Source organism: Homo sapiens, chromosome 19, assembly GCF_000001405.40.
Source record: "Homo sapiens chromosome 19, GRCh38.p14 Primary Assembly".
Lineage (NCBI taxonomy): Eukaryota > Metazoa > Chordata > Mammalia > Primates > Hominidae > Homo > Homo sapiens.
The window spans coordinates 51,948,511-51,963,077 of record NC_000019.10 but is presented as its reverse complement, the minus strand read 5'-3'; the positions used below and the strand labels follow the sequence as shown (position 1 = coordinate 51,963,077).

General features: G+C 42.7%; 1 long non-coding RNA gene across 1 annotated transcript in view; it reads right to left on the bottom strand.

Annotated features, from left to right (window-relative positions):
- ZNF350-AS1 (ZNF350 antisense RNA 1) overlaps nt 1–13,944 on the bottom strand; it is a 32,234-nt gene extending 18,290 nt beyond the window's left edge. Inside the window, exon 1 of the long non-coding RNA NR_103847.1 lies at nt 13,843–13,944. This is a non-coding gene — a long non-coding RNA (ZNF350 antisense RNA 1). The remainder of the gene's footprint in view (nt 1–13,842) is intronic.
- Between the last annotated feature and the right edge of the window lie 623 nt (nt 13,945–14,567).

Below are 14,567 nucleotides of genomic sequence, written 5' to 3'. Positions count from 1 at the left end.
GGGATTACAGGTGCCTGCCACCACGCCCAGCTAATTTTTTGTATTTGTAGTAGAGATGGACTTTCACCATGTTTGCCAGGCTGGTCTCAAACTCCTGACCTCGTGATTCACCCACTTCGGCCTCCCAAATGCTGGGATTACAGGCATGAGCCACTGCGCCTGGCCACTAAGTAACTTTTATATATCATCACTGTGCAAGGCACTGTTTTAGATACAGTAGGATGGATCGGTGAACAATACAGGCAAAGGAATAACCTTTATAAACTTTACCATTGAGTGAGGCAGAGAAACAGATTGTACGATGTTAGGAAGGAGAAAAAGACTAGTAGTGGATACTAATGCATACGTAGTGATGGGGGCTTTTAAAAATATGTTATTTTTTTTCTCCAAGGGAAGGCTTTTCTGGATGTAATTTGAGCCAAGACCTAAGTGTACTGAGGAGAGCCTGTTACAGCATTTGTAAGCACAGAATACTCCAGGAGTATTTGTAATTGTCTGTGAGCTTCTTGCCGCAAGTCTCTCAGAAATTTAAAAAGATGCAAATCCCTGAGTCACCCCTAGACTTCCTAAACCAGATCCTCTGGGGCTGGAACCTGGCACTCTGCATTTGTAATGAGGGCTTTCTGGTGCACACCTAATTTTGTGCATCTTTGCCCTAAATCCTGGATTAGTGCCCCATCATTACCCCCACATTATAATGGGATAGATTCAGAGCAGATACTCTCCAGCAAAGAATCAGAAATGGGCGCTCCACCAACCAGGCCCTATCCACATCTGGCCTTTGTGAATCTGCACATCCTTCCATGGTAAGGTCAGGTTGCTTATGCTCTATCAGGGTCTAAGGATGAGTTGGCCAGGCCTACCCTGAGCAATTGCTTAACGTACCTTTCAGAGCTTGACCTCCCAGATGAAGGAGGCTCAGTGCATACCTAAGCTTGGTACACATCATGTCTGCTCCCAAACCCAAGATCCTTATAGTTTCACTGAAGATCACCCTTCATCTGCTCCCATGACCTCAGTCCCTCCTGGGCCAAGAGGCAGTCCTGCATAGTGATTTGGAATGTATCCTGAAGTCACACTGCTTAGTTTGAATCCTGCCCTGCCATGCCCAAGCCATGTGCCATAGAGCAACTAATTTACCAAGGTCTTGACTTTAGCTTTAAAATATCTGCCTCAGGTTTGTTGTGAGAAGTAAATGTAAAGTCCTTAAAACAGTGTCTAGCAAGAAACACAATTAATACAAGTAATGTTATTAGTCCCAGTGAGGGGAAGAGGAGGAATCAAGAGTATAGGTGTGCCTGAACTTAATCAAAACTGTGACTTGATGACAAAAAGGTTGCCACGCACTGAGCCAAGGATTCCTCATATAGCATACTTTTTAAGCTTAATAGAGCTGTGATTATGAAACTCTCTAGCTTTAAACTTTGAAACTTGCAATGACTGTTCTGCTTGGGGTCTGGACAATGGCAAACATCCTTAAAATGGCCATCAAGTCTGCATGTTCCGGTTCTTTCTTCCCTCTCCCATACTCCACCTTGCTCTCCCTGTTCTGACACACTGGCCCTCTTTTGGCCCCTCATATGCTGCTGACATCCTTTCATCACCTTCAGGCCTCTGTGCATGCTCTTTCTTCTGCCTGAACTTTTCTTTCCCCCCATTTTCTGCATTTTTCCTCCTTCAGGATCTTCAAACATCACTAATTCAGAGCAACTTTCCCTCACCAGTCTGGCCTTCCATAGGATCGTGTTCCTCTTCTTCCTAGCACTTAGGGGAACTGCAGTTTAACATTTTGTAGATTTCCATGTGCATTCCCCATCTGGATTCTAAACTTCCTGAAGGCAGAGAGTGTGGGGAAAAGAAAGAGAGATCAGACTGTTACTGTGTCTATGAAGAAAGTAGACATAAGGAACTCCATTTTGTTCTGTACTAAGAAATTCTTCTGCCTTGAGATGCTGTTAATCTGTAACCCTAGCCCCAACCTTGTGCTCACAGAAACATGTGCTGTGTTGACTCAAGGTTTAATGGATTTAGGGCTGTGCAGGATGTGCTTTGTTAAAATGTGTTTGCAGGCAGTATGCTTGGTAAAAGTCATCACCATTCCCCAGTCTCGAGTACCCAGGGACACAATGCACTGCGGAAGGCCACAGGGACCTCTGCCCTAGAAAGCCTGGGTATTGTCCAAGGTTTCTCCCCACTGAGACAGCCTGAGATATGGCCTCTTGGGAAGGGAAAGACTTGACCCTCCCCCAGCCCGACACCCATAAAGGGTTTGGGCCCTGGAGGATTAGTAAAACAGGAAGGCCTCTTTGCAGTTGAGATAAGAGGAAGCCATCTGTCTCCTGCTCGTCCTTGGGAATGGAATGTCTCAGTGTAAAACCCAATCGTAAATTTTGTTTACTGAGATAGGAGAAAACCGCCTTATGGCCGGAGGTGAGACATGCTGGGGGCAATACTGATCTTTACTGCACTGAGATGTTTGTGTAAAGTCAAACATAAATCTGGCCTATGTGCACAACAAGGCACACACAGCACCTTTCCTTAAACTTATTTATGACACAGAGTCCTTTGCTCACATGTTTTCCTGCTGACCCTCTCCCCACCATCACCCTATAGTCCTGCCATATCCCCCTCACCGAGATGGTAGAGATAGTGATCAATAAATACTGAGGGAACTCAGAGACCAGTGCTGGTGTGGGTCCTCTGTATGCTGAGCGCCGGTCCCCTGGGCCCACTGTTCTTTCTCTATACTTTGTCTCTGTGTCTTCTTTCTTTTCTCAGTCTCTCATCCCACCTGATGAGAAATATCCACAGGGGTGGAAGGGCTGGCCCCCTTCAAGAGAGCAGGTCTGTTTTTTCCTCATCATTTCACCTCCAACATTGGGCACTAGATCAGGCACCTCGCAGATGCTGAGACAGTATTTGGTTGAATTAAGGAGTGTTGCTCCAACAGCTTTCAAGCTACTTAGCTGCCAAGTGGCAGGCTGTAGATTCAAATGTTTTCTGGCATCTAAAACTTTTTTTTTTTTTTTTTGCTTGGAGGGTTTGTTTTATTTTATGATCTCATCCTTAGATTACCCTGTGATCAGCCTCCACTCCTAGGGCGATAGAGACTCTACTGGCTGTTTATTTTTACTCTGAAATAGTTTGACTAGGTCACATAGTCATGCGATTCAAAACTTAAAGCTGTACAAAAAAGCACATTTGTGAATATCTTATCCTGTTCTCAATCCTAGTTTTCCCCTGACCTTCTAGCTTTTACAGGTAAACATGTTTACTGTGAATCCGTCCAGTGTTTCTTTTTATAATACAAGTATATATTATTTATTTGTCCTTTTTTCAAAAGGTGGCATACAGCATACACTCTTTTGCATCTTTTCTATGTTTTGTTTGTGACGGAGTCTTGCTCTGTTGCCAGGCTGGAGTGCAGTGGTGCGATCTCAGCTCACTGCAACCTCCGCCTCCCAGGTTCAAGTGATTCTCCTGCCTCAGACTCCTGAGTAGCTGGGACTACAGGCACGTGCCACCACAGCCAACTATTTTGTATTTTTCATAGAGATGGGGTTTCACCATGTTGGCCAGGATGGTCTCTATCTCCTGACCTCGTGATACACCGCCTCGGCCTCCCAAAGTGCTGGGACTACAGGTGTGAGGCACCGCGCCCAGCTGCATCTTTTCTATGTTTAATTATCACTGAGCAGCAGCACAGCACCTTGAGGGTAAGTGAAGAAGGAAAGACTGTAGCCTGTCAGCCAAATATGGTTATTTGTTCAATAGTCTTATTATTGAAGTGCTGTGTTCCAGTTTTTGTTCTGAGCACTGGGGCTAAAAATAAATTATAGACTTCTGCCTTTGTGGAACTCACAGTCCATTCTGAACAGCAGTTAAGTGAGCAGATGATGATGATCAGGAAAAATGATCTTCAATTATTCCCGGAAGAGAGATGCTTCCTCTATTTCCCTATTGAATGCCTTCTATAGTTCCCTTCCTTAGCCCCACTTAAGAGTTGCAATTTTATATTTAATGATTGCATTATTATAAATAAGACAAAACTGAGAGGCATCCCAGAATGCTGTCTGAAGAAGTGACATTTCAAATGATTCATGAAAGGACAAGTATAGTAACTAATATTCCCTCATGTTTTCCTGTGTGCCAAACACTTCACAAGAAGGGAAAGTACTTGCAAATTCCTGGTAGCGTATAAGACCACAAGATACCTCAGAAGGGGCGGAATAAGAATCAAATGTACAGCATAGAGTAATGGAACCTGAGAATGGAGAATCTGGTGTTTGCTTGTGTACAGCTGAAGGGGGCCAGCCCCTCCACACCTGTGGGTGTTTCTCGTCAGGTAGGATGAGAGACTGAGAAAAGAAATAAGACACAGAGACAAAGTATAGAGAAAGAACAGTGGGCCCAGAGGACCAGCACTCAGCGTATGGAGGACCCACGCCAGCACTGGTCTCTGAGTTTCTTCAGTATTTATTGATCACTATCTTTACAATCTCGGTGAGGGGGATGTGGCAGGACTATAGGGTAATGGTGGGGAGAGGGTCAGCAGGAAAACACGTGAGCAAAGGACTCTGTGTCATAAATAAGTTTAAGGAAAGGTGCTGTGTGTGCCTTGATGTGCACGTAGGCCAGATTTATGTTTGACTTTACACAAGCATCTCAGTGCAGTAAAGAGCAGTATTGCCCCCAGCATATCTCACCTCCAGCCATAAGGCAGTTTTCTCCTATCTCAGTAAATAGAATGTATGATCAAGTTTTACACTGAGATATTCCATTCCCAGGGATGAGCAGGAGACAGATGCCTTCCTCTTATCTCAACTGCAAAGAGATCTTCCTCTTTCACGAATCCTCCTCAGCCCAGACCCTTTATGGGTGTCAGGCTGGGGGATGGCCAGGTCTTTCCCTTCCCATGAGGCCATATCTCAGGCTGTCTCAGTGGAGAGAAACCTTGGACAATACCCAGGCTTTCTAGGGCAGAGGTCCCTGTGGCCTTCTGCAATGCATTGTGTCCCTGGGTACTTGAGACTGGAGAATGGCGATGACTTTTACCAAGCATACTACCTTCAAACACATTTTTAACAAAGCACGTCCTGCACAGCCCTAAATCCATTAAACCTTGAGTCAACACAGCACATGTCTCTGCAAGCACAAGGTTGGGGCTAGGGTTACAGATTAACAGCATCTCAAGGCAGAAGAATTTTTCTTAGTACGGAATAAAATGGAGTTTGTTACGTCTTTTTCTTTCTACATAGATATAGTAATAGTCTGATCTCTCTTGCTTTCCCCCACACTACTGGCTTCACATGGAAAGACAAACAATGGACATGGATGATTGTGCCTCAGGAATATACTCAGAGTCCAACTTATTTCTCAGAAATATTGAAACCAAATGTCTTATATGCTGCATTTTTGAAAACTATACTTTAATACAATATGTGGATGATTTCCTTCTTTGTTCAGAAGATGAGAAAGCTGCTACAAAAAGATGGGATTCACTTGTTACAAAAATTGCTTTCAAAGAGACATGGGGTCTCCAATAAAAAATCTTGAGTTCTGTCTACAATGAGTAAAATATTTAGAGTTATCTATTGTCCAAGAAAAGCCTTTTTATTGATGCAAATAGAATAAAACAAATATTTTCCTTGCTTACCCTAAAAACTAAGAAAACACCTAAGAGGATTTCTGGAACTGGAAAATTATTGCAGAAATTAGATTCTGAATTTTTCATTAAAAGCTTACCTTTCTATACCCTTTTAAAATGAGACAAGCAGACTCTCTGGATTGGACAGAGAAAAATCAATTAATGTTAGGAACAATTTAAAGGATCTTATAGATGCCCCAGTACTAGGAAATCCAAATTATTTTGTTTACGTTGTTTGTACAGGAAGATCAAGAAAATACCCTAGGCATTATGACCCAAAAACATGGGGCTCAAAAGAGACCTATATAATACAACAGTCAGCAGTTGGATTCAGTGGCTAGAGGACTACCAGCCTGCATGGGGTTAATACAGCAATCACCCTACTGGTAAACCTCCTGGGCTCAAGCAATCTTCCCACCTCAGCCTCCTACCTAGGTGGGACTTCAGGTGCATGCCAACATGCCTGGCTAAGTTTTAAATTTTTTTTCTGGAGGCAGGGGTGTCTCCTTATGTTTCCCAGGCTGGTCTCAAATTCCCGAGCTCAAGAGAGCCTCTTGCCTCAGCCTCGCAATGTGCTAGGATTATAGGCATAAGCAACCACACCCAGCCTGGAAGCACTTCTAAATTCACTCCATACTCAGAAATATTTAGTTAGCAGGCTGGTCCCTTTAGAAGTCCTACTTCTTTCTTCACCTCATATGAAACTGCCCCTAAATTTGAATGAAATGCCTCGTGATTGCATAATCTTTTTTTTTTTTTTTTTTTTTTTTGAGACAGGGTCTGGCTCTATTGCCCAGGCTGGACTGCAGTGGTGTGATTTTGGCTCACTGCAACCTCCGCCTCCTGGGCTCAAGCCATCCTCCCACCTCAGCCTCTGAGTAGCAGGGACTATAGGTGCCTGCCACCACCCCTGACTAATTTTTGTATTTTAAGTAGAGATGGGGTTTCACCATGTTGCCCAGGCTGGTCTTGAACTTCTGAGTTCAAGGAATCTACCCACCTTGGCCTCCCAAAGTGCTAGAATTACAGGCATGAGCCAGCATGCCAGCCTGGAAGCACTTCTAAATTCACTTCATGCTCAGAATTACTTAGTTAGCAAGCTAGTCCCTTTAGAAGTCTTACTTCTTTCTGGACCTCATATGACAATGTCTACATGTAATAACCTAAATTCTGCTACTCTTCTCCCCCTAAATTTGGATGAAATGCCTCATGATTGCATAACCTTAACTGGTCAGCTTTTCTCTCCTAGGACAAACCTGCAAGAAACTCATCTTAGTAACACTGGTGTGGTTTGATTTACAGACAGATCTTACTTAAAGATTAATCTCAAATTTACAAGCAGGTTATGTTATAATATCCCAAGGGAAAAAATAGAAAGTGCTTATCTTCTAGAAGCAATCTCTGCTGAACAAGCCAAATTGACAGCACTAATTAGAGCTTGTCAGTTGGCAAAATGAACAACTGCTAATTTATATACAGGCAACAGATATACCTTTGAAGTCATTCGTGACTTTGTAATACTGTGAAAATAAATAAAGAGGGTCTTGAACCTCTTCCGGCCAGTCCATAAAAAATGGATACCTTATCTCTTTATTATTAAAAAAACATTATTATAAAACTCACTACCTATTATTAAAATCCAAATCAGATACTCCAAAAAATTCCAAATCAGATACTCCAGAAAGTGAAGGAAGTCAGCTAGCTCATAAGGTTACAATGAGGACTGCCTAAATACATCTAGGCAATAAAAACAATTCATATTAACTTTGAAAGAAGCCCCCAAATTTGACATAAATTAACCCAATCCAGAGCTCTAAAAACAGAATTAGAAAATATAAAACAAAAAGGTGAAATATGGTGTGGACTAAACAACTTGCCTATACTTCCTACTGAATTACAATCATCATTTTCAACCCTACGGACTGATTTAATTCACCGGAGCCCTGATAAAGTGGTTATTGAGAAAAATAGTATTTTGAAAAGTTTCTTCAACTATAGCTCATAAAGCATTTAGTTGCTGCCATATTTGCCCAAAATATAATCCAGGGAAACCTTTACATAGTTCCTAAGAACATTTTTCTTTACCTGAGGCCCCCTTTGAGGTGTGGCAGATTTTATTCGACTACCCCATCACAAGGATACAAGTATGTTCTAGTAATGAAAGTCTGTATAGTTTCATTGGGTAGAAGCATTTCCATGCAGAAGAGCAACAGCCCTAACATTAAGTAAAATTCTCCTTGAAAAATTATTTAGACTTGAGGAGTCTCTCTAGAACTTCATAGGGGCAGAGGTACTCATTTCACTGCCCATGTAATTCAGTCACTACGTAAAATATGGCCAATTCTTTAACACTTCCATTCTGCATATCCCCCTCAGTCATCTGCATTAGTAGAATGCATAAACAAAATAATTAAAATTCAATTGGCAAAATTAACCCAGGCTTTTCACATGTCTTGGCCAAGGGCCCTTCCACTGGTTTTCCTTAACCTAAAATCCACCCCTTTTGGTAGACATCAGTTTTCCCTAATTGAGATAATAACAGGTAGATGCATGAAACTATCCCCAGGAAAGTATAAATCCATAATGCTAAAAGAAGACATATTAAATTTTTCTGACATCTTTATAAAACAACTACCTAAAAATCATAATTTGAAAAAAGACTCTTTTTATAGTGAACTCCCAGGAAACAAAGAACTTAAAACCCATGAACTTCAGCCAGGAGATTTTTTTCTACTGGAAATGATATCTAAAATGATATTTGGTTAAAGGACTCCCTTTAACCAAACTGGAAAGCGCTCTATTAGTTACTTTTTACTAATCCTTGCACTAAAATGTAGAAGGCATAGACGTGTGGATTCACATGTCTTATGTAAAGAAAGTTGAGCCTAAAAGAAAATAGTCTGTATATTGGGGGCGTCTAAAAGTTATTAGGACTTGAGGAAAGTTGACTTTGGAGACTGAGTCATAGAGCTTGACCTCTTAATTACTAACACTTTATTACAGATTAATTTCCTTCCATGTTTCCTAGATCCCAGGCCAGATGTCCCCGATATATAAGACCCTTTCACTGAAATAAAATATTCATTGACTGAGATAAAAGACTTTTTGACTATTATATACATAATGTAAAATGTTAAATATATCTTTCAAAAAAAAAGTCTCTTGACTCAAGCAAAATACTTAGGAGCAAACCTTAATTCCTCACTTTCTTCGTCCCCTTGTTTTGAACTCATCGGTGAGCCTTGTCTTCCTCCATTATATATCCTCCTTTCTAAGAAATATGTAAAGGTGGCATGAGTCTTGGTTTAAAAGGAATAAGGTGGTCCCTTAGGCCCCTTTTGTGATGCCAACCAAGACATAATTGTAGAATTATAGAAGATGCTATTAGTTACATGACAAGGGATCAGTGTATTAGGGACAATGAAATGGGAAAAATTCAGATCTGACATCTGTGTAGGTACTACATGCCAAATGTGACTGAAGGTGACAGACAACACATGTGGGCACCAGCAGTAGCACCCATTCAGTAACACATCTTATCCTATTCAGAAGCACATCTGCTTCTGGAGAGGTCTACATGGTTCATTGGCCTGTTGCAAACTTTCCAAATGATCATTGTTTCTCATCTTTCCCTCTTTCTTTAGAAGCACAGGAGAATGTGCCCACAGTGAGGCTAAAGGTTGGACACTGAGAATAAGTTTCTCTCTAAATGTGAGATTGGTGCTTTGGGAAAATTAGTTTGATGATACAGAATGAAGAAAAGGGATGCATTTTATTTTTATTTTTATTTTTTTTTATTGTTCATTCTTGGGTGTTTCTCGCAGAGGGGGATTTGGCAGGGTCATAGGACAATAGTGGAGGGAAGGTCAGCAGATAAACAAGTGAACAAAGGTCTCTGGTTTTCCTAGGCAGAGGACCCTGCGGCCTTCTGCAGTGTTTGTGTCCCTGGGTACTTGAGATTAGGGAGTGGTGATGACTCTTAACGAGCATGCTGCCTTCAAGCATCTGTTCAACAAAGCACATCTTGCACCGCCCTTAATCCATTTAACCCTGAGTGGACACAGCACATGTTTCAGAGAGCACAGGGTTGGGGGTAAGGTCACAGATCAACAGGATAAGAATTTTTCTTAGTACAGAGCAAAATGAAAAGTCTCCCATGTCTACCTCTTTCTACACAGACACCGCAACCATCCGATTTCTCAATCTTTTCCCCACCTTTCCCCCCTTTCTATTCCACAAAACCGCCATTGTCATCATGGCCCGTTCTCAATGAGCTGTTAGGTACACCTCCCAGACGGGGTGGTGGCCGGGCAGAGGGGCTCCTCACTTCCCAGTAGGGGCGGCCAGGCAGAGGCGCCCCTCACCTCCCGGACGGGGCGGCTGGCCGGGCGGGGGGCTGACCCCCCCACCTCCCTCCCGGACGGGGCGGCTGGCCGGGCGGGGGGCTGACCCCCCCACCTCCCTCCCGGATGGGGCGGCTGGCCGGGCAGAGGGGCTCCTCACTTCCCAGTAGGGGCGGCTGGGCAGAGGCGCCCCTCATCTCCCGGACGGGGCGGCTGGCCGGGCGGGGGGCTGACCCCCCCACCTCCCTAAGGGATGCATTTTAAAAACAGGATGACCATCTAAGAGTGTCACAGATACGTTGAAGTCGAAATCTGACATTCTGACTTGCCTCTCCCAAGATATTTGTTTAAAACAAGTGTGTCTGCTTATTTCCCTGATTGGATATAGGCAGTGTGTGTTTTCTCTCATAATTTGCAGCTACCTCATTTTTTAGTTTCCTTGTGTTTTTATTTTGTTTTCCCCAGCCAGAATGTAAGGTGGTGGTTCACGCCTGTAATCCCAGCACTTTAGGAGGCTGAGGCGGGTGGATCACCTGAGGTCTGGAGTTCGAGACCAACCTGGCCAACATGGTGAAGCCCCATCTCTACTAAAAATACAAAAAATTAGCTGGGCATGGTGGTGGGCGCCTGTAATCCCAGCTACTAGGGAGGCTGGGGTGGGAGAATTGCTTGAACCCAGGAGGTGGAGGTTGCAGTGAGCTGAGATCACACCATTGCACTCTAGCCTGGGTGAAAGAGCAAGATTCCATCTCAAAAGATATATATATATAATTTATATATTTATTTATATATGAAACTCTGGCTGTTCCTTATTATTGCATCATTGCTGTCACTGGGTGAAAGATAAGACTACCCATAGGCTAGAAAAATACAAAAGAAACCTACCCTCTACCATGCTACCTCAATTACTAACACAAAATCCACTCGGCCTGGCAATAAAAGTTAATGTTGCTATGATTACCCCACTTATCCACATTTCTATTCTACTACTTCCCCTACAGACACCTTCTAACATTGGCTTTCATATGGTTGGCTTCGGACCAAATCTTTTGGCATTCTCCCTCATGGCCTGACAAATTTTCCATTTAATCCCTTCATTCTCTGCCCTTCATTATGTTTATTCAAAATTTAGACATGCCTTTTACATATCATGCCATCATTCCCTATGCTCTATATATCACTTTAACCTCTATTTCCTTTACATTTCTACCATATTCCCTATCTTTGCTGATCATTTTTTAAACTGGCTGGATTTCCCCACAGAAATGATGTTAACAGTCTTTTTGAATAAATATAGAAATTGACTCTCCTAGTCTTAAAGCTTGAAACTTATATTCATTTTATCTGAGTTCGTTTCTCATGAAACCATTCAGGCCTCCCAGATAGTTCAAGGAACTGAAACTTACCAGATCACTGCATCTAGACAATGCGATGGTGGACCCCTCATCCATCATGATTGCCTAACCGACCACCTGATTCCTGTTGGCCAACTCCTCTTCCTTACCCTTCCCTAATTCCTGTTTTATATTCCTTGCCTGTTATATAAGCCACCAATTTTAGTCGGTTGTGGGGAGACAGATTTGATATTTATTTTCCTCTCCCACCTGATGTTACCCAAAAAAGCCTTTCTTCTCTCGCAATACTCATTGTCTCAGTGATTGTCTTTCTGTGTGGCAAGCAACGGGACCTAGACTGAACCCTTGGCATTTCAGTAACATCTTGACATGTAACTTCACACAACCTAGAATTCTAACAATACCTTGTGTTTAAATCCTGTATTACATACAGATATTTCATATATTTGTTACAAAAAATCATCACTACTAGAAGATATTTTCTTGTTTCTCACAAAATTCCATCCATTTTAGCATATATTAGGGCTGTGAGTTACCAAGTATGTCACAACAGCATTCCATAGAGAATTTTATCAACACTCTGCAGGGATTGTACTCCAAATCTATCAACCCAGACTCTCAGAGGGATAGGCCTTCATACATGCATTAGGTACGCATACTCCAGCAAATATTTGGATTTAAGAAACGCTTGGCTAGGAGCAGTCGCTCACGCCTGTAATCCTAGCACTTTGGAGTCCGAGGCAGGTAATGCATCAGGTGGATCACTTGGGCTCAGGAGTTCAAGACCAGCCTGGGCAACATGGTGAAACCTCATTTCTACAAAAAATACAAAAATTAGCTGGGCATGGTGGCGAGTGCCTGTAGTCCCAGCTACTGAAGTGGGAGAATCCCTTGAGTCTGGGAGGCGGAGGTTGCAGTGAGCCAAGATCATACTACTGCACTCTAGCCTGGGCAACGGTGTGAGACTCTGTCTCAATTTTTAAAAAATGACTTCCTCTTCTAGAGGAATTATCAAAAAAAACAGTATAAGCCACTTAAGAATAAATGTAACCATAAGATCTAGGACATAAAAAAGTGAATCACAAATCTTGGGGTGGGAACAGAAGAACTTGAGTAATTGGAGTATCAGAATGTTATATATAGATAGAAAATATAGAAATAGAATTGAATATTTTATACATGTCAATTCCATCCTAATTAAGGCAAACATTTAATGTGACTCCATTTACTAAGCCACTGGTACAACCTTCTGATGTGATACTGCCATTGAAAAATTTTATATGTAGTCCAGCTACTTGGGAGGCTGAGGCAGGAGGATCCCTTAAACCCAGGAGTTCAAGGTTAGAGTGAGCTGATGGCACCATTGTACTCCAGCCTGGGAGACAGGGCAAGACTGACTCTCTCTGTATAGAAAGATAGATAGATAGATAGATAGATAGATAGATAGATAGATAGATAGATAGATACATACATACATACATAGACAGATGTATATAGAGACAGAAATATAGATATATATACTATATATACATACATGTATGTATGTTTGTGATGAGAATTTAAGTGATGAAATCAAATATTTACCCAAAGTATTGCAATTGTGAAAACTGTGAGGATGAAACGAAAAAAAAAATGCTCCTAAATAAAAATCAGAAGTGTGGGTAACAGAGATTATTTTCTTGTGTTGGAATAAATCTGAAAGAAAATATTTATGAAAACGACATGGTAAAGTTGGGAACTAGAGAGGAAAAAAGCTCGACTTTAGTAGCAAACTCGTAATTTCCTCGTCCAGAAATTTGTAGACAATGATATGAATATAGGAAGGGAAATGTTTTTCATTGTTATTTTTAAGACGGACTTGGACTTGAAGAACTGAACTGCATGTAGATCCACTAGGTAAATGTAGTTTAATCACAACTGTAACCAGCAGTCAATTATTAAGCCTCAACCCATCCACTCTCCAGGGCCCTTGGGCCTCCAAAGCTCCAGCCTCTTCAGGCCCCTAAACCACAGACATGTACAGGCCTCCTCAAACATTGACTCCAAATTAAATCTGAAACCGCAAACTAAAACCTCTTTCACTAAAACATTCTCCAGCCCCAAGCTTCTCTATCACATTAAATTGCAAACCCGGAATGGACACCAAGTTCATTCACTGATACACACTTTCCTACCCCGTTTCTCAACCACTGATTCCCACGGCATTCCCTCAACGACCATAAACCTTGACAGTCGGTCGTTAATATCTTCCAGTCTCTTAATTACTGACCGCCAGGCGCCCTATCACCAAAGCCAGGCTTCTCCATTGAGTAAACCCAGAAAGAACCCCAGGACGCGGGGTCCCACACGGTCTCAGAACAGGGGGCTCCCCTTCACTGACCCCCACAGGCCTTTCACTTGGAGCCACATCCAGACCCCGACTCATCTGATCCTGAGTCTCTCCGGACTCCACCGAACGCTGGGACCAAACACTGAGCCTGCGTCCAAAACGACTTACATCTCCCTCCGCAGCCGTTGCTAGGGACTTCGAGGGCCCTCGGCGTCTGACCGCGAAACCAGCCGTTCCCAGACGACAGAATTCCTCCCTCGGCCTCGTATTGTGACGTATCATGGCCACGCCCATCTCGGCGACTCCCACCAGAGAACCCGGAAGGGCTGTTACCACGGCGTTGGAAGACAGTGAATTAATTTCAGGGCACCTCAGTCACTGCGCAAACTGGATAAATTGTCAGAAAATTATAAAAACTTTTAACAGCCTGAGCAAAAAAATAAGATGGCCGCGCGCTGTACCCCATATTGAGCCGTTAGGAAGAAGCATCGTGGCTGCAGTTCATCTTAGGAGGTGTCAGTTTCCATTCAGTAGAAAATACAATCTGTTGGGAGTTTAGGGCGGAATGTGGAGTATTTCTGAGGGCCTCTTCAGGACCAACAAGGTGTGCCAAAGGCGAAGTGGCTGAAGGGGAATAGGGGGACAGCGGTCACAGAGTGGACCAAATTTGTGGATGTTCTGAATCTCCTTCAACGGATGCAGAAAAGAATGGGCAAGGCTAGTCTAGCCGAGAATTGTCTTGAGGCCAAATACGGGAGCGATCTCTATGAGGACCAATGCCCACGTGCAACTGCATACAGTGTGTGGTTACCTGTAATAAGGAAAAAGGAATGAGGCCTCAAATTTAATCAAATATTTCCCTGAAACACTTGAAGATGGAAATGGAGCATATA